This window comes from Homo sapiens, chromosome X (assembly GCF_000001405.40).
Source record: "Homo sapiens chromosome X, GRCh38.p14 Primary Assembly".
In the NCBI taxonomy this organism is placed as follows: domain Eukaryota; kingdom Metazoa; phylum Chordata; class Mammalia; order Primates; family Hominidae; genus Homo; species Homo sapiens.
The window spans coordinates 94874113-94894015 of NC_000023.11; the positions used below are offsets into that span (position 1 = coordinate 94874113).

At 33.9% G+C, this 19903-nt stretch overlaps 1 long non-coding RNA gene across 1 annotated transcript in view, besides 1 other annotated feature; it reads left to right on the forward strand.

Annotated features, from left to right (window-relative positions):
- The window catches only part of LOC107985710 (uncharacterized), a 71824-nt gene that overhangs the window by 22931 nt on the left and 28990 nt on the right, over positions 1–19903 (forward strand). The window lies entirely within an intron of this gene.
- Positions 13185–13685: an enhancer, noted in NCBI's record as "H3K27ac hESC enhancer chrX:94142296-94142796 (GRCh37/hg19 assembly coordinates)". NCBI's record gives its function as "activates a minimal SCP1, AML or CMV promoter by ChIP-STARR-seq in primed H9 embryonic stem cells {active_cell/tissue: H9 hESC(primed)}" and the evidence as "EXISTENCE:reporter gene assay evidence [ECO:0000049][PMID:30033119]".

A 19903-nucleotide genomic window follows, 5' to 3' on the forward strand; every position in this document is an offset into this window, starting at 1 on the left:
ACTCTAATTCCATAGCTACAGATCTGTATGCATCAAAAATGTTTGCCTGTCATTTCTTTTTCTGTAGTGTCTCAGAAAAAGAAAATGACAGGCAAACATCTCTGATAAATATAGATGTGAAAATTCTCAACAAAATACTAGCACTCTGCATTTAACAGCACTTTAAAAGAAACATGCATCATTCAATATTTATTCCTGGGATGTAGGGTTGGTTCAAATTATAAACTTCAATCAATGTAATAAAATAAAATTAATAATTATGAAAAATAATAAACTAAAGGACAAAATTACATAATCATTTCAAGAGATGAAAAACAAGCATTTGGCTTAATTCAACACCATTCAATGATAGAAATTGTCAACAGACTACATATAGAAGGAATCCACCTGATCCTGATCAAGGCCATATATGTAAAGGCAACAGCTAGCATTACACTCACCAGTAAGAAACATATTTTTTTCCTCTAAGATTCTAAACAAGAGAAGGACACTCACTCTCACCAATTCTAATCAAAACAGTTAAGGAAATAATAGCTGAAGTTATTAGGCAACAAAAGGAAATAAAATTTATCCAAACAGAAAATAAATAAAATTACCTCATTTCGTAGATGACATGCTCTTATATGTAAAAATCACTAAAGATCACACACACACACACACACACACACACACACACACACACACACACCTTTTATAACTAGAAAGCAAATTCAGCAAGGCTTCAGGATACAAAATGAACATACAAAATTAGTTTTATTTCTATACAGTAACAGAAAATAATAAAACAGAAAATTAAGAAAACAATTTAATTTACAATGGTACTAATAAGAATAAAATACTTAGAAATAAACTTAACCAAGGAGGTGAAAACTTATACAGTGAAAACTCCAAAACATGGCTGAAAAAGTTGAAATTAGACAAAATAAATAAATCTCATGCTTATGTACTGACATATTTAATATCATTAAAATATTCATACCAGAAATAAAGCCTACTTGGTTGGTGGACTTGCTTTTTGATGTGCTTCTGAATTTGGTTTGCCAACATTTCATTAGGAATTTTGCATCTATGTTAGCAAAAAGATTGGCCTGAGTTTTTTTGGTGGTTGTTGTGTCTTGGCCAGGTTTTGGTATAAGGATGATGCCGACCTAACAGAATGAGTTAAGGACGACTGTCTTCTCAATTTTTTTTGAAACAGTCTCAGATAGTTTTAGTAGAAATGGCACAAGTTACTATTCCTATGTCTTGTAGAATGCAGCTGTGAATCAATCTGGTATAGGGCTTTTCCTAACTGGTGGGCTTTCTATTACTGATTCAATTTTAAAACTCATTATTTGTCTGTTTGGGGTTTCAATTTCTACCTAACTCAACCTTGGAAGGTTATATGTTTCCAAGAATTTCTCCAGTTGTTCAAGATTTCTAGTTTGTGTATGTAGGAGTGTTTATGATAGTCTCTGAGGGCTTTCCGTATTTCTCTGAGGTCAGTGGTAATGTCCCCTTTCTTATTTATAATCTAGTATATTTGGATTTTCTCTCTTTTTTTTTTTTATTAGCCTGGCTCACGTTCTTTCAAACCAACTTCTGGAATCATTAATCTTTTGTATGTCGCCTTCACATCTCAATTTCCTTTTGTTCAGGTTGGATTTTTGTTATTTCTTGTCTTAATGCTAGCTTTGCGATTGGTTTACTTTTGTTTTTGTAGTTTTTTTGGGTGTGATGTTAGGTTGTTAAATTCAGATCTTTCTAACGTTTTGATGTGGGCATTCAGTGTTATAAACTTTCCTCTTAACAGTGCTTTAGCTGTGTGCCAGATTCTGGTATGTTGTATCTTCGTTTCCACTAATTTCAGAGCATTCCTTGATTCCTGCCTTAATTTTACTGTTTACCCAAAAATCATTCAGGAGCAGATTCAATTTCCATATAATTATATGATTTTGTGTGATCTTCTTAGTATTGATTTATATTTGTATTCTGCTAGGTTCTAAGAGTATGGTTGGTTTGATTTCTTTTTTGTTGTCTGGTTTTTTTGTTTGTTTGTTTGTTTGTTTTTGTATTTGCTGAGATTTTTTTATACAACCAATTGTGTGATTGATTTTGGAGTATGTGCCATGTGTAGATAAGAAAAATGCATATTCTGTTCTTTTGGATGGAGAGTTCTCTAGATGTCTATTAGGTCCATTTGGTCAAGAGTCAAGATTAGGTCACAAAAATTTTGTTAGTTTTCTGCCTCAATGATTTGTCTAATACAGTCAATAAAATGTTGAAGTCTCCCACTATTATTGTGTGGATATCTAAGTCTTTTCCATATTCTCTAAGAATTTGTTTTATGAATCTCAGTGTTTCTGTGTTTGGTGCATATATATTTGTGATCGTTAAGTCTTCTTGTTAAACTCAATCCTTACCTGTATGTGATGATATTGTTGACTATTTTTTTGTCGTTGTTGATTTAAAGTCCGTTTTGTCTGAATTTAGCATAACAACTCCTAAGTTTTTGTGTTTTTCATTTGCTTGGTAGATTTTTCTCCATTCCTTCACTTTGTGCCTATGAATGTCATTGCATGTGAGATGGGCCTCTTGAAGACAGAATATATTTGGCTCTTGCTTCTTTATCCTATATGCAACTCTGTGCCTTTTACGTGAGGTATTTAGCCCATTTATGTTCAAGATTAATATTGGTATTTGTGGATTTTCTCTTGTCATTGTTTTGTTAGCTGATTATTATGCAGACTATATTGTGTAGTCACTTTATAGTGCCAATGGTCTCTAGCCATTGCTGGGGAGGTTTCACAATTGTTTGGAGGTAAGAGGACACTGTGACTTTTTCAGTTGCCAGAGTCCTTTCACTGGTTCTTTCTCATCTGTGTGAGTTGATGTTCTTGTAATCTTTGAAGTTGCTGTGCTTTTGATGGGGTCTTTTGCTTTTATCTTTTTTCATGCTCTTAATGGTTTGATTGTGGTATAAAGTGGGTTTAGTCGATTGGCTTTATTTCTGGAAAATTTCAGGGAGCCAGTACTCAGCTTATCACTCATTGACTGCATGCTCTAACCCTGGTGGGCTGTTATTCTACCCCCAACTTTGCTCTCTGGCCCCTTGAGGTTAGGAGTCTGCTGTAATGCGGGGCTGAGCTAATCCAAGCCCACTGTCAACAGCACTCTGATGGAGGGAATACCAGCTAAAGCACTTTTTTGGAGTGAATTGGCAGCAGGATCTGTGATGTGTATGTGTTGGCCAGGGCGGTATTTAGGCACACACTAGTTGTGTTGATGATGTGGCAGGGTGCTCATGTGCCCATAGTGGCGAGGTGGTGGCATGCATGCATGTGCTCATGCTGGGAGTGGTGAGGGTGACAGAGTGCATGCACATACATACCACTGGGGGAGGCAAGGTGAGTTCCACTTATGCACTCACACCACCAATTTGCTTGGGGGTGGCTGTGGTGAGTATATGCCGGCAAAGCAGTGGAGGAGGCTGTGGTCGGGGGAGGCTGCATTTGAGTGGTTGTAACATGGTGGTGGCCAGTCTGTTGGAGGTCTTTCATGGATAGGTACTGTCAGCCAAGATGCTATGAAATTTATAGCACTAAATGCCCACATTAGAAAGCTGGAAAGATATCAAATTGACACCCTAACTTTACACCTAAAACAACTAGTGAAGCAAGAGCAAACAAATCTCAAAGCTAGCAAAAGACAAGAAATAACCAAAATCAGAGTGGAACTGAAGGAGATAGAGACAGGAGAAACCTTCAAAAATTAATGAAACCAGAAGCAGTTTTTTTTTTGAAAAAAATAATAAAACAGACTATTAGTTATTAGTCTATATTCTAAAAATAATAAAATAGACTATTAGCTATTAGTCTATTAAATAGTCTATTAGCTATTACTGAAAAAGTAAAATGGAGCTACACTAATAAAGAACAGAGAAGAATCAAATAGATACAATAAAATGATAAAGGAGATATCACCACTAAACCTACATAAACACAAACAACCATCAGAGAATACTGTAAACAGCTATATACAAATAAACTAGAAAATGTAGAAGAAAAGGATTAATTCCTGGACACATATACCCTCCCAAGACTGAACCAGGAAGAAGTGGAATCTCTGATTTGATTAATAATGAGTTCTAAAATTGAAGCAGCAATAAATAGTCTACCAACCAAAAAAAACCCAAGACAAGACAGATTTACAGCTGAATTTTACCTGAAGTACAAAGAGGAGATGGTATCATTTATTGTGAAACTATTCCAAACAATTGAAAAGGAGGGAGTCCTCCCTAACTCATTTTATGAGGCCAGCATTATCCTGATACCAAAACCTGGCAGAGATACAACATAAAAAGAAAGCTTCAGGCCAGTATCTCTGATGAACATCGATGCAAGAATCCTCAATAAAATACTGGCATACTGAATCCATCAGCACGTCGAAAAGCTTATAACTAAAGATGAAAACCACATGATTATCTCAATAGAGGCAGAAAAAAGCCTTTGATAAAATTTAGCATCCCTTTATGTTAAAAAATCTCATTAAACTGGGTATTGAAGGCACATACCTCAAAATAATAAGAGCCATTTATGACAGACCCACAGCCAATATCATACTGAATGGACAAATGCAGGAAGCCTTCCCCTTGAAAACTGGCACAAGACAAGAATTCTCTTTCTCACCACTCGTATTCAACATAGTATTGGAAGTTCTGGCCAGAGCAATCAGGCAAGAGAAAGAAATAAAGGGTAATCACGTAAAAAAGAGGAAATCAAATTTTCTTCATTTGCAGATGACATAATCCTATATCTAGAAAACCCCCTCAACTCAGCCCAAAAGTTTCTTAAGCTGATAAGCAAATTCAGCAAAGTCCCAGGATAAGAAATCAATGTGCAAAAACCACAAGCATTTCTATACATCAACAACAGGCAAGCAGAGAGTCAAATCATAAATGAACTCTCATTCACAATTGCCACAAAGAGAATAAAATACCTAGGAATACAGCTAACAAGAAAAGTAAAGGACCTTTTCAAGGAGACCTGCAAACCACTGTTCAAGGAAATCAGAGAGGACACAAACAAATGTAAAAACATTCCATGCTCATGGATAGAAAAAAAAATAATTTTGTAAAAAAGGTTATACTGGCCAAAGTAATTTATAGATTAATTGTTATTTTCATTAAACTAACATTAGCATTCTTCACAGAATTAGAAAAAAATTATTTTAAAATTCATGTAGAACCAAAATAGCCCATATAGCAAAGACAATCCTAAGCAAGAAGAACAAAGCTGGAGGCTTCATACTACACAACTTCAAGCTATAATACAAGGCTACAGTAACCAAAACAGCATGGTACTGGTACAAAACAGACACATAGAACAACGCAACAAAGTAGAGAACTCAGAAATAAAACTGCACATATACAACCATCTGATCTTTGACAAACCAGACAAAAACAAGCATTGGGAAAATCATCCCCTATTTAATAAATTGTGCTGGAAAAACTAGCTAGCCATATGCAGAGAATTGAAACTGGACTTTTTAAATTTTTTTTACACCTCATGCAAAAACTAACTGAAAATGGATTAAAATCTTAGATGTAAAACCCAGAACTATAAAAACCCTGGAAAAAAATCTAGGCTATATCAATCAGATCATAGACACAGGCAAAGATTTTATGATAAAAAAGCCAAAAGCAACTGCAACAAAAGAAAAATTGACATATGGGATCTAATTAAGCTAAAAAGCTTCTGCACAGCAAAAGTAACTATTATCAGAGTAAGCAGACAACTTACAGAATGGGTGAAAATTTTTACAATCTATCCCATCTGACAAAAGTCTAATTACATTACATGGGGAAAGGCCTCTCTATTCAATACATGGTGCTAGAATAACTGGCTAGCCATATTCAGAAGATTGAAACTGGACCTTTTACTTACACCATATACAAAAATCAATTCAACATGGACTAAAGCTTAAATGTAAAACCCAGAACTATAAACAACCAGGTAAACAACTTAGGCAATACCATTATATACATAGAAATAGGCAAAGATTTTATGACCGAGATACCAAAAGCAATCACAACAAAATCAAGAATTAAAATAAGATAGACTTACTTAAACTAAAGAGCTTCTCCACAGGAAAAAAAAAATACTATCAACAGATTAATCAGACAACCTAAAAAACAGAAGAAAGTTATTGCAAACTATGCATCTGATAAGGGTCTAATATGCAGGATCTGTAAGAAACGTAAACAAGTTAACAGGCAAGAAATGAACAATCACATTTAAAAGTGGACAAAGACTATGAACACACATTTGTCAAAAGAAGAGATACACACAACAAACAAGCATATGAAAAAATGCTCAGCATATCTAATCATTAGGGAAATGCAAATCATAACCACAATGAGATACCATCTCACACCAGTCAGAATGGCTAGTATTAAAAAGTTAAAAAATAACATGTGCTAGCAAGGTTGCGGAGACAAAGAAAAATATATACACTGTCATGGGAGTATAAATTAGTTCAACCATTGTGAAAAACAGAACCTTCATATACTGCTCTTGGGAATGTAAAATGATGCAGCTGCTATAGAAAACATTCAATAGTTCTTCAAATGATAGCACTTATAACTGCCACACAATTAATCAATTGCACTCCTAAGTATACACCCAAGAGAAATTAAAACATATGTTCATGGAAAAATTTGTACATGAATACTTATAGCAATAATTGTCCATTAAAGGATATACCACATTTTGCTTCTCCATTTATCAGTGAATAAACATATGAATTGTTAATTTTCATCCACCGATTAATGGATAAGTAAAATGTGATATATCCTTTAATGAAATATTATTCAGCCATTACAAGTTAAGTAATTATAACTGCTACATATATAAACCTAGGTAATGTTATGCTAAGTGAAAAAGCCAGACACAAGTAACCACACATTATATCATCTCAATTATATAAAATGTCAGGAATAGGGTAATATATAAAGACAGAAAGTAGATTAATATTTGCCTATAGATGTGGGGGGAGGGGAGGAAGGAAAATAGAGTAGTAGTAGCCAAAGAATATAGTTTCTTTCTCAGGTGATTAATATGTTCTAAATTAGTGCTAATGCTTGTAAATATCTCTAACTATATTAAACACAATTGAACTGTACAACTTAATTGGGTCAATAATATAATATGTAAATTATATCTCAATAAAGCTCCTCTAAAAACTCATTAAATGGTATACATAGAAATTGTACATTACACTTTTTATAAATATTACCTTCCCATAAAAAGAACTATTATCTCCTATTGAATTCAAGTTTATTATATGCATAGATGTTTGAGGTGTCTGAAAATTTCTCTTAAATACATGAAAAAGTAAAATGTATTGATGAAAAAATAGAAATAGGTATAAATACGTAACCGGGAAAATATAAGAAACTGTTCATTTAATTTTTTTTCGAGTGGCTTTAGCTCTATTCTTTCTTTTCTGTATTTTCTTGGCACATAATATTTGTACATATTTATGAGACACAGAGTAATATTTTAATACATATATAAAATTGGTAGACCAAATTAGGGTAATTAGCACACCCATCACTTCAAAGATTTATAATTTTTTGTTTTGTGAATATTCAAAATCCTCTCTTCTAGCTTTTTAAAATATATACACTAAATTATTTTTAACTATATTTACCTTACATTCCTATAGAACACCAGAACTTTCATCTCTCATCTAGCTGTAGCTTTGTATCTGTTAACTAACCACTGTATATCGTCTTCCCTGACACCATTTTAACTCTCGAATAACCACAGATCTAGTGCCTACTTCTTTGGGTGCAATGTTGTTTTTTTAGCTCCCACATGTGAGTAAGGACATGCGGTAATTATTTCTGTGCTTTGTATAATTCATTTAACATAACGTCCTTCAGACTCATCCATGTTGCCATGAATAAAATAATCTTTCTTTTTTATAGGTAAATTATATTCCATTTTGTATATATGCTAAAACTACATCATTCATCTGCTGATGAACATTTAGGTTGTCTCCATATCTTGGCAATTGTGAATAAAACTACAATAAACATGATGGAGCAGATATGTTTTTAATGTATTTATTATAATTCTTTTGAATAAATATCCAGCACTGGAATTGTTGGATCATATGGCAGTATTATTTTTAGTTTATTGAGAAACCTCCATGCTGTTTTTCATGCCTTTACTAATTTACATTTTTACAACAGTGTATAAGAGTTTCCTTTTCTCCATATTCTTGCTAGTACTAATTTCTCTTTTTGTCTTTTTGTTGATCACCATTCTAACTAGACTAAGATGATATTTCCTTATGGCTTTAATTCACATTTTCCTAAAGATTAGAGAAGCTTTTTTTAAAAAAAAAAATATAGATATAGAGTTGACCATCTGTATGTCTTCTTTTGAGAAATATCTGTTCAGATCCTTTGTCTAATTTTAGTCAGATGACAATGATTATTATTGTTTGCTGTTGAGTTGTTTAAGTTCTTTGTATATTCTAGCTATTAGTCTATTGTTAGATAGATGGTTTACAAATGTTTTCTCTCATTCTCCAGGTTTTCTCTTCACTCTTTTTTTTTCTTTGCTATACAGAAGATTTTTAGTTTGATATATTCCCATTTGTCTATTTCTGGTTTTGTTTTCTGTTATTTTGAAGTGTTACTTATAAAATCTTTGCACATGTTAATGCCCTGAAGGATTACCATTATATTATCTTCTGGTAGTTTCAAAGCTTAAGTCTTTAATGCATTTTGAGTTGATTTTTGTATGTTGTTAGACACAGGGGTCTAGGTTCATTCTCCTTGTGGATATCCAGTTTTCCCAGAATCATTTGTTAAAGATGATGTATTTTGCCCACTGTAAGCCCTCAGCACCTTTGTAAAAAAATCAGTTGGCTATAAACATGGATTTATTTCTGTGTCCTCTATTCTGTTCTATTGGTCTATGTGTCTGTTTTTATACCAATAACATGTTGTTTTTGTTACTATAGCTTTGCAGTAAATTTAAAGTCAGGTACTTTGACACCTCCAGCTTTGTTCTTTTTGTCAGTATTGGTCTTACTATTTGGGGCATTTTGTGCTTCCACATGACTTTTTGAAGTTTTTTAAAAATATTTCTTTGAAAATTTTTATTAATATTTTGATAAGAATTGAATAGGTAGATTGCTTTGGAAAGTATGGTCAAGTTTACAGTATTAATTATACTAATTCATGAGCATCAGATGTTTTGCCATTATTTTATGTGTCCTTATGAATTATTTATCCTTTTTTTGTCGGTTTCATTGTATAGATAGTTAATCTCCTTGGTTAATTTATTTTTAGTTTTTTTGAAACTATTATAATTGTTATTTTTTGTATGTTGATTTTGTATCCTGTCACTTTACTTAATTCGTTTATCAATTAGTTCTAAGAGTTTTTGGAAGAGTCTGTAGGTTTTTCTGCAAAGAGGGACAATTTGACTTTCATTTTTTTCCCCAATTTGAATTTTCTTTGTTTTTTTTCTTGCCCAATTGCTTCTGCTAGAAATTCCAGTACTATGTTAAATAAGAGTGGTGAGAGTGGGCATTCTTTTCTTGTTGCAGTTCTTAGAGAAAGGCTTTTGGCTTTTCCCCATTCAGTGTGATGTTAGTTGTGAGTTTGTTATATATGGCCTTTATTGTTTTAAGGTATGTTTTGCTAGACTCAATTTGTTGAGAGCTTTTATCCCAAAGGGGTATTGAATTTCATCAAATGGTTTTAGTGTATGTTGCGATGATCATTTTTTTTTAATTTCTTTCTCTTGAAGTTATATACCACATTTATTGATTTACATATATTTAACCATGCTTGTATTTGTGGGATAATTTCCACATGCTCAGGGGATGCTATCTTTTTGATGTGTTGTTGAATATAGTTTGCTACTATTTTCCTAACGATTTTTACGTCTATGTTCATCAGGGTTATTGGCTTGTAGTTTTTTCTTTTTCTTTTTCTTTTTTTTTTTTTTTTTTTTTTTTTTTGGTGAGGGGAAAAGTGGTATCATACTCCAGTTTTGCTATAAGGGCAATACTGTCCTTGTAAAATAAGTTTGAAAGAATTTCCTTGCCTTCAGTTTGTTTAAATACTTTAAGAGTTGATGTTATCTCGTGTTTAAAAGTTTTGTAGAATTGAGCAGTAAAGCCATCTTGTTTTGGACTTTTCTTTGTTGTTCAACTTTTTATTACTGAATCAATGTTAGTACATGTTTTGGTCTGTTCAGGTTTTCTGTTTTTCTCTCTTTCATTCTTGGTAGTTTATATATATCCATGAATTTACCTGTTTTCTCTAGGTTTTATAATTTGCTGGTGTATATTTGTTTATAGCATTCACTAGTGGTCATTTGTATTTTTGTAGTGTCAGTTGTAATATCCTCTTTTCTCTTTCCGATTTTATTTATAGAGATATTGCCTCTTTTTATTTAATTATTCTAACTAATGGTTTGATTTTATCCTTTCCAAAAACAATTTTAATTTGGTTGACCTTTTATTTTATTTATTTATTTATTTATTTATTTTAGTTTCTCTTCTGTTTACTTGTGCTCTGGTCTTTATTTCTTCTTTTTTTTCCTACTAATTTGTGGTTTGGCTTTTTCTTGCTTTTCTAGTTCCTCCATGTGCAATGTTAGGTTGCTTATTTGAAATCATCATACTTTTAAAAATATAGTTGCTTATTGCTATAAACTTCCCTTTTATTACTGCTTTTTCTGTATCCCATAGCTTTGGACATGCCATATTTTCATTATCCTTATTTTTATCATTAATTTTATTTATATTTATCATTATTTTATTGATGCAGTTGTCCTTCAGGAGCATGCTGTTTAATTTCCAAATATTTGGACAGTTTCCAGAGTTTTATTTGTTGTTGACTTCCAGGATTTTTTTATTGTGGTCTGAGAAGTTATTTGATATTACTTTGAGTTTTTATAGCTGTTTATACTTGTTTTGTGGATTAACATATGGTCTATTTTGGAGAATGTTCAATGTTCTGACAATAAGAATGTGTATTCTACAGGTATTGGAGAAATTTTTTTTATAAATTTTTACCTAGATCCCATTGGCCTGTATTAGTCTGTTCTCATACTGCTATAAAGAACTTCCGAAGACTGGGTAATTTATAAAGGAAAGAGGTTTAATTGTCTCACAATTCCGCATGGCTGGGAGACATCAGAAAACTTACAATCATAGTGGAAGGCAAAAGGAAGCAATGCACCTTCTACACAAGGTGGCAGGAGGGAGAATCAATGCAGGAGGAGCTACCAAACAGTTATAAAACCATCAGATCTTTTGAGAACTCACTCACTATCATGAGAACAGCATGGGGAAAACTGCCTCCATGATTCAACTACCTCCACTTGGTCTCTCCCTTGACATGTGGGGATTATGGGGATTATAATTCAAGATGAGATTCGAGTGGGGACACAAAGCCTAACAATCTCAGGTCTATATTGCATATTAAGTGCAATATTTTTTGTTGATTTTCTGTCAAGATGATTCGTCCTATACAAAAGCAGGAAGTTGAAATTCTCAATGATTATTATATCAGGGTCTATCTCTTTAGCATTAAGTGTATTTGCTTTATATGCCTTAGTGCTCTGGTGTTGAATGCATAAATATTTATAATTTTCATACCCTCTTGCTGAATTGATCCCTTTGTCATTATACAATAACCTTCTCTGTCTTCCTGTTATGTGTTTTTTTTTTTTACTTGGAGTTTACTTTTTCTGACATAAGTATAGCTACTCCTAGCTACTCTTGCATGCTCTTGGTTTTTGTTTGCGTAAAATATCTTTGTTCTTTTCACTTAAAAAGGTAAAGTGAATTTCTTGTAGGCAGCATATAGTTGAGTCTTTTTCTTTTATCCACTCAGCCAGCCTATACACATTTATCTGAGAATTTAAATTATTTATACTTAAGCTTCTTATAGATAGGTGAGGGCTTACTCTTGTTATTTTGTTAATTGTTTTCTGATTGTTTTGTATATTCTTTTTCCTATTTTTCCTCTTATTGTTTCTCATTGCAATTTGGCCATTTTCTCTACTTATAAGGTTTAATTATTTTGTCTTTCTCATATGTATATCTGCTCTACTACTGAGTTTTATACATTCTTGTGTTTTTATAGTGATATATATTGTTCTTTTCTTCCCAAATGTAGGAGTACTTTTAACATTTTTATGGGGCCAATCTAGTGGAGATTAATTTCCTCAGATTTTGCTTGTCTTTGAAAAACTTTGTCTTTAATTTCTGAAAGAAAAAAAAAAAAGCTTTGCTAGTTATAGTATTCCAGGCTCAAAATTTTTCCCTTTCAGCACTTTGAATATACTATTTTATCTTGTTCTGTAAGGATTCTACTGGGAAATATGCTGCTACTCTGGTGGATATTCCCTTTTACGTGGCTTACTATTCTTTTGCTGTTTTTGGAAATCTCTCTTTGTTTTTGACTTTTGACTATTTGATTTTAATGTGCATCAGAAAAGACATTTTTGAGTTGAATCTATTTAGAAATATTTGACCTTCCTCTATCATCTATCTATCTATCTATCTGTCTATCTATCTATCTATCTATCTATCTATCTATCTATCTATCATCTATGTATCATTATTTCAAGACTTAGGAAGTGTTCAGCTATTATTTTTTGAAAATTTTATGCCTTTTTCTACTTCTGCTACAGCTGCCAACAAGGAATACGTTTGTTTGCTTGATGGTATTCCATATGTCATGTAGGATTTCTTTATTCTCTTTCCGTTTTCTTTTCTTCTGTCCGACTGTATTCTTGTAAAAAAACGTGTCTATAAGTTTAGAAATTCTTCCTTCTGCTTAATTTATTTTATAGTTGAGTCTTTCTAATGTAGTTTTATTTCATGCATTGATTTTTTTAGTTTCATGGTTTGTTTTATTCTCTTTTATGACATCTTTTACTTAAAATTTCTTCACATCATGTATTCTGATTCCTTTGTGTTATTTATGTGTGTGTGTGTGTTTTAATTTCACTGAGTTTTCCTAAGATAATAATTATTAATTATTTTTATAGCATTTTATCAATTTCTTTTTCTTTGGGGTCTGTTATTAGTTGGCGATTATTGTGTTGCTTGGAGGTGTCATGTTTTCTCGCCTTTTGTATTTCTTGTGTCTCTACATCAATATCTTTACATCTGGTATAACAGTCATTTTTTTTCCAGTTTTATGGAGTAGCTTTCATAAGGAAATTTTTTTCCTGCAGTTGTATCTACAATGTTAGTTTGGTAGGGTATTTTGGTTTCAGTTCTGAGTGGGAGCCATAATGTAATCCCCATATAATTTTTGTTTTTGGTCTGTAATCAATGTCAGTGGTGTCTATGAGTTTCTCAGTGGCTTAGGCTGTGGATGCTGGTAGAGACAATGATGAGGCTTTGCTGGGGACAGAGACACTGAGAAGGCTGGTTCTCAGGCTCCTGTGATACACCTGAAGACCAGCTGTACTGGTGAGAGGCTTAAGTCAGACTGGTTATTTTCTTTGTGTGTGTGTGGGTGCTGGGGAGCAGGCAAGTTGCATTGGGTTGGGCAGTGGCAGAAGAAGGTCCCAGGTGGGCCAATTCTTAGATCCCTAGTTAGGGTGCATGAACACTGGTTGTTGTGGTGGTGGGCCAGGCAGGCCAGTGATCAGATTCTTGCATAGTGCATGTGGGCGCCAGTAGTATTGGTTACAGTGATCAATACAGGCTGGGTTTGGAATTTCTAAGTGACAATGGCATGTGTTGATGCGTGGCAGCCCTGCTGTTGAGAAGGCCTGGTTACGGTAGGTGGCAACAGCCCCAGAGAGGCAGCTCTTAGGCTATAGAAAGCACAAGTTTTGGCTTCTTGTTTTCTGAAGGTAACAACCCTGAGGTCTTGGACCATCTGTTTTCTGGGGTGTAGGGCATTAGGTAGGTTGGATGTCATGAACATGGGCACACTGTCATATTTAGCTAGTGTTGTGATGCTGCCACACTTTTTGTGGATATTGGGTAATATTGGTGTGATCCTGGGGATTTGGAGATGCAAGGTTTCTTGGTCTCCGGGGCAAGATATGGTTTGGTATTGATTCCATTGGGCCAAATGGTGCCATACTGCAGCAGCTAGGATCGTGGGGGTAGGTCAGATCTAGTGAGAATTTTCTATCTGGTATAGTGTAGTTGTGTAGACTTTAGGCAGCTTCTTTTACTAGGCTCAGAGCCTGAGAGGGTCCGGTTACCCTCCCATAGCTAGGATTACATGCATATGTGGTGGGAATAAGGTCTATTGGGACACAAAATGTTAACTTTAAAATTTAGGAAGTTAAAATATAAATGATTACTGCACCATTATTTCACTTGTTTTGCGATTATGTTTTCATATTAAAATGTTTAATAAATATGTAGATCACAGTAAATGAGTAATTAGAGAGTAATTTATAGCTTAAAATGCTTATAAGAGAAAATAAAAAGGTTTTTAAATCAATAATCTAAACTAAGAGTCAGCAAAGTTTATCTGTGAAAATCCATATAGTGAATCTTTTAGATTTTGTGGGTGAAGTTCCCAGGCCATTACCAATATTAACTGCCAGGCATATGAGTGAAAACAGTTTCAGATGATTCCTGCCCCAGCATCTGACTCACCTTCAGAGAGAAACAAAGATAATCCTTTCCTTTTATGCCCTATTCAAATTTAAAATCCAAAGACTTCATGGCATAATAAAATGATTATTTTAAGCTGTTGTATATTGTAGTAATTTATTGCTCAGAAATATTAGCTATACCATAAGTGTTAAACGGCACTAAACAAAAAATATTTTTGATTTATTAAGACTATGGTTAATTCACAATGTAGAATTCATGTCCTATTCTTTTTATAAAAGGTTATCTAAAATATTCTATGCAAAAAAATTTGGGAAATGCTGAGATATGAAAATGATTTTTCCCCCAATAGCAGGCAAATCACTAAATGTAACAGATAAATTATACTCATTTAAATAATACACAGAAACCTAGTATGACAAGTTAAATAAAATGTTAAAATTAAAACCCACAGAGACAAAAGAAAAATGGAAAATATTTTCAAGCTGTCAAAAGTCAAAGATTATTTTAAAAATTTTTCATTAAGTCTCAGTGGAAAAAGCTAAAAAATTAAAAGCAAACATCAAAGGACTTTCTTGGAATAGATTAGCATGTTTTTCTCAAATGAATGATAACTGAGCTAGCTAATTAAAAAGTAAAATTAGATGTTGTAGGATGGTTGTATTTTTATATTAAAAATGAGTCTTCTATTTAGAAAAAAAACCTTTATTTTTAGAGCAGTTTTAGGTTCACAGTGATATTGAGAAGAAAAAAACAGAGAGCTCCCATATACCTCCTTCCAATATACATGCAGAATCTCCTCTACTATAAACGTCACACACAGGAGTGGTATATATGTTACAACCTATGAACCTACATTAACTTATTATTATCACCCAATGCCCATAGTTTACATTAGGATTCAATCACGGTTCTGTAAATTGCACGGGTTTTGGCAAATTTGTATTGACATGTATCTAATATTTTATTATACAGAATAGTTTCACTGCCCTAAAAATCTTCTTTGTTCTGCCTATTCATCTGTCCCTCTCCTGTAGCCCCTGGGAAACATTGATTATTATACTTTTTTAACAGTTTTGCCTTTTTAAGAATGTCAAATAGTTGGAATAATGAAGTATGTATCATTTTATCTTGAATTCTTTCACTTGTTAATATTCATTTAAAGTTACTCTATGTATTTTCATGTGTTGATATCTGTTATTTTTAGTGATGAATTATATTTCATTGTCTGGATGAACCACAATTTATTTAGTCATTCACCTACTCTTTTAGTCAAGGTTCTCCAGATATCTATATAACTCTATCAATCTGTATGTCTATATAGATATATATATAGTCTATATAGATATATATAGAGATAGATAGATAGATTGATTGATTGATTGATTTATCAAAGGAATTGGCTCACTCAATTATGGAAGCTGAGAACTTCCACAATATGCCATCTGGAACCTGAAGAACTAGAAAAGTAGCTAGCATGGCTCCCAGTCCAAGTCCAAAGGCAACAGAATCAAAGAAGCCAATGGTGTAACTCTCAGTTCAAGGCCAAAGCCCAGAGTCCAGAGGCTATTGTTGCAAGTCCTGAAGTTCAAAAGCCATAGAACCCAGAGTTCTCAAGTCCAAGGGCAAGAGAGGGAGGGTGTATCAACTAGGGGAAGAGACAGGCAGAACTATGCATGCTTCTTCTGCCTTTCTAATCCATTCTGGTTGGCAGTTGACAGTATGGTGCTCACTCACATTGAGAGTGAATCTTTCCCACTCAGTACACTGACTTACATGCTTATCTCCTCTGGAAACACCCTCGCAGACACACATGGACGGCCCAATCATTGTAATAGAATGCCAAACAACCTGTTTTGTATTTCTTTTCTTTTCTTTTTTTTTTTTTTTTTTTTTTGGCAGAAGAGGAACAGCCTTAGTACTTACTGAAGCATTGACAATAGTTAATGCAATGATTGAAGTAGATAATGCTTTATCAGGAATTGATTAAGGGACAATGGTTTTCTGTTTTTACAATTTGAATTAGATATTTGTTCATTTAACATGAAAGTTTTCTGCTTATAAAGATTAAGTGAGAATTCCTATTTCATTTCTAGAAACATCATAATCAATTACCAATGCCATAATTCTACATAAGTCAGACTGTAATTAATATTTATTTTTCTGACATAGGATCAACTCTGTCACCCAGGTTTAAGTGAAGTGGCATAATTCTAGCTCACCGCACCCATAAACTCCTGGGATCAAGCAATGTTCCTTCCTCTTGCCTCAGAGTCGCTGGGACTACACATGCACACCACCACACTACGCTAATATATCTTTTCTTTTCCGTTGGAGAGACGGAGGTCACACTTCTATTGCCCAGGCTGGTCTTGGTATCTTGGCCTCAAGGGATATTTCTATCTTAGCCTCCTAAAGCCCTGGGATTATAGTCGTGATCCACTACACTTGGTCAGTCAGACTATTCTGATTGTTGCTCCACCTCTGTTGTTCATTATGGTAACTATGCCTACCTTGACTTTGGTGGTAAATGCTGCCAACTGGTCCCTGCAACACTGAGACCCAACTATTCCCATCACATTTATGTTTTCTAATTAAATGACTGCAGTTTCCACTGTAAGGTCTGACCTACAGAGAAGAGCAGTCACGAAGCTCTTCAAGAATGCTAGGGTACCATTCACGAATCTTTCTCAAAGTATTCTTGAAAGATATGTCTTCTGAACCCTCTAACTGTGAATGAGTGAGTTTTAAGTGACAAATACATTTTAGCATTTCAGTCTCCTTAAGCCTTTAAATCTTTTATTCCACATTAAACTAAGGAATATTGGGCATCTTGAACTCTATCATGGTGGGCCATCTTTTGATCCATGTTTCAGCCAACCAAGCAAACAAACTGTTGAAGCCTTTTCTAACTCACTGAGTTGCAACATTAAATGTAGAATCTCTGCTTTGTAGGCCCATATAAATAAATTTAGCCTGATTCAACTAAATGTTCCTTCCGCCATTCTCCTACACCCTTAATATCTATTCCTCCACATCTTCCCCAGATTTATGCTTGTATTAATTAGAAAACTCAAATAGTTCTTTTGGAGTGTGGCATATTTTGGAGTGTGTCACACTTTGTACCTCACCTTTAGTGGCCTGCTGGATTTTGAGTTTAGTTATGAGTTTTGAGTTTAGTTTAGAAATAGAAGAGAATGGAAGAAGTGAATCTTGAAAACAGCCAGCATTGCCTTTCTTGGAAATTGCCTTAGGGGAATTCATTATCGTTTCCTCAGGCAATGCAGAGTGAATTCCCTGGAACAGGGGCAAAAAGGCTCATACAACTCTATTAGATTTGGAAAAGCTGTTAAAAAATAAAGTGTAAAGCCCACCTACACTGGCAAAAAAAATACTCATCAGAATTTGGGAGCACAATGTTTGCAGCTTCAATAGAGTCATCCCTCACATCTGCATCTCAACTTGGAGGGTCATATTCTTTCCCAGTAATTGCTCTTACTTTAACAGTAAACACCCTAACTTACACAGAACCAAGAAAACCAATAATGTGGCTCAGTCTGAGTCCAAAATCCTCAGAACCAAGAAAGACAATGGTGTAACTCTCAGTTCAAGGCTGAAGGTCCAAAAGCCCAGGGAGCCACTGGTGGGAATCCTGGAGAAAAAAAAAAAAAAAAAAAAAAGCCAGGTGCGTGGCTCACGTCTGTAATCCGAGCACTTTGGGAGGCCGAGGCGGGAAGATAACAAGGTCAGGAGATCGAGACCATCCTGGCTAACACAGTGAAACCCTGTCTCTACTAAAAATACAAAAAATTAGCTGGGCGTGGGCGTGGTGGCCGGCGCCTGTAGCCCCAACTACTGGGGAGGCTGAGGCAGGAGAATGGCGTGAACCTGGGAGGCGGAGCTTGCAGTGAGCCGAGACCACGACACTGCACTCCAGCCTGGGCGACAGAGTGAGACTCCGTCTCAAAAAAAAAAAAAAAAAAGAATCTGGAACTCTGATTTTCAAGGTCAGAAGAAGAAGACCATCCTGGCTCTAGAAGAAAGAGACATAACTTGATTATTCTCTGCCGTTTTGTTTTATATCTTTCCATGTCTTCATACTTCACTTTCTTCACCACTAAATAATATTCCATTGTCTAGATTCTAGATGAACCACAGTTCATTCATTACCCTCCTGAAGAAGATTTTGCTTGCTTCCAATTTGTAGCAGTTAGGAATAAAGCTGCTATAAACATCTGTGTGCAGATATTTGTGTGAAAATAGATTTTCTTTTTAAACATTTTAATTAAAAATATATGTATATATTTATGTAGTCCAATGTGATTTTTAAATATATGTATACATGGTGGAATAATTAAATCAAGCAAATTAACGTATTCATTATTCCACCTACTTATCTTTTCTTTCCCCTTTGGGAAAACATTTAAAATTTACTCTTTTAGCAATTTTGAAATATATAATACACTATTATTAACTATGGTCAACATGTTCTGCAATTGAACACTAAAATTTACTCCTCTTGTCTAACTGAGATTTTGTACCCTTTGGCCAATATCTTTTCTTTCCCCATACCTACCCCCAGCCTCTGGTGACCATCATTCTACTCTCTACTTCAATGAATTAATAAACATTTTTAGATTTCACATGTAAGTGAAGTCATATAATATCTGTCTTTCTGTTACTGGCTTAGTTAATTCAGCATAATGGACATAGATTTTCTTTACTACTTTATATTCCTTTATATTACTTTTTTTTTAGTAACAAAGAGAGTGATTACTAGATTGTATTAGATTGCTGCAAAAGTAATTGTGGTTTTTCTGTTAAAAGTAATGGCAAAAATCACAATTACTTTTGCACCAACCTAATAAGAGTATATTTAGTTTTATAAGAAACTGCTATAACTTTCTTCCAAGTGACTGGACTCTTCCTTCTTCCTTCCAGCCACCAATGAATGAGAGTTCCTGTTGGTCCACATCCTCATCAACATTTGTTGTTGTATTTTAAATTTGGCATTTTAATAGGTATCTACTGAGATATCATTGTTGTTTAATCGTAATTCCCTCATGACACCTGTGTTAAACATCTCTTCATATGGTTATTTAGTCACCTGTGTAACATTTTTGGCGAAATGTCTGTTTATACCTTTTAAACATTTTTAAAACTTCTATTTCAGGTTCAAAGATACATATGCAGGTTTGCTGCATAGGTACCTTGCATGTCACAGAGATTTGGTGCACAAATTATTTCATTGCCCAAGTAATAAGCATAGTACTTGATAGATTTTACAATC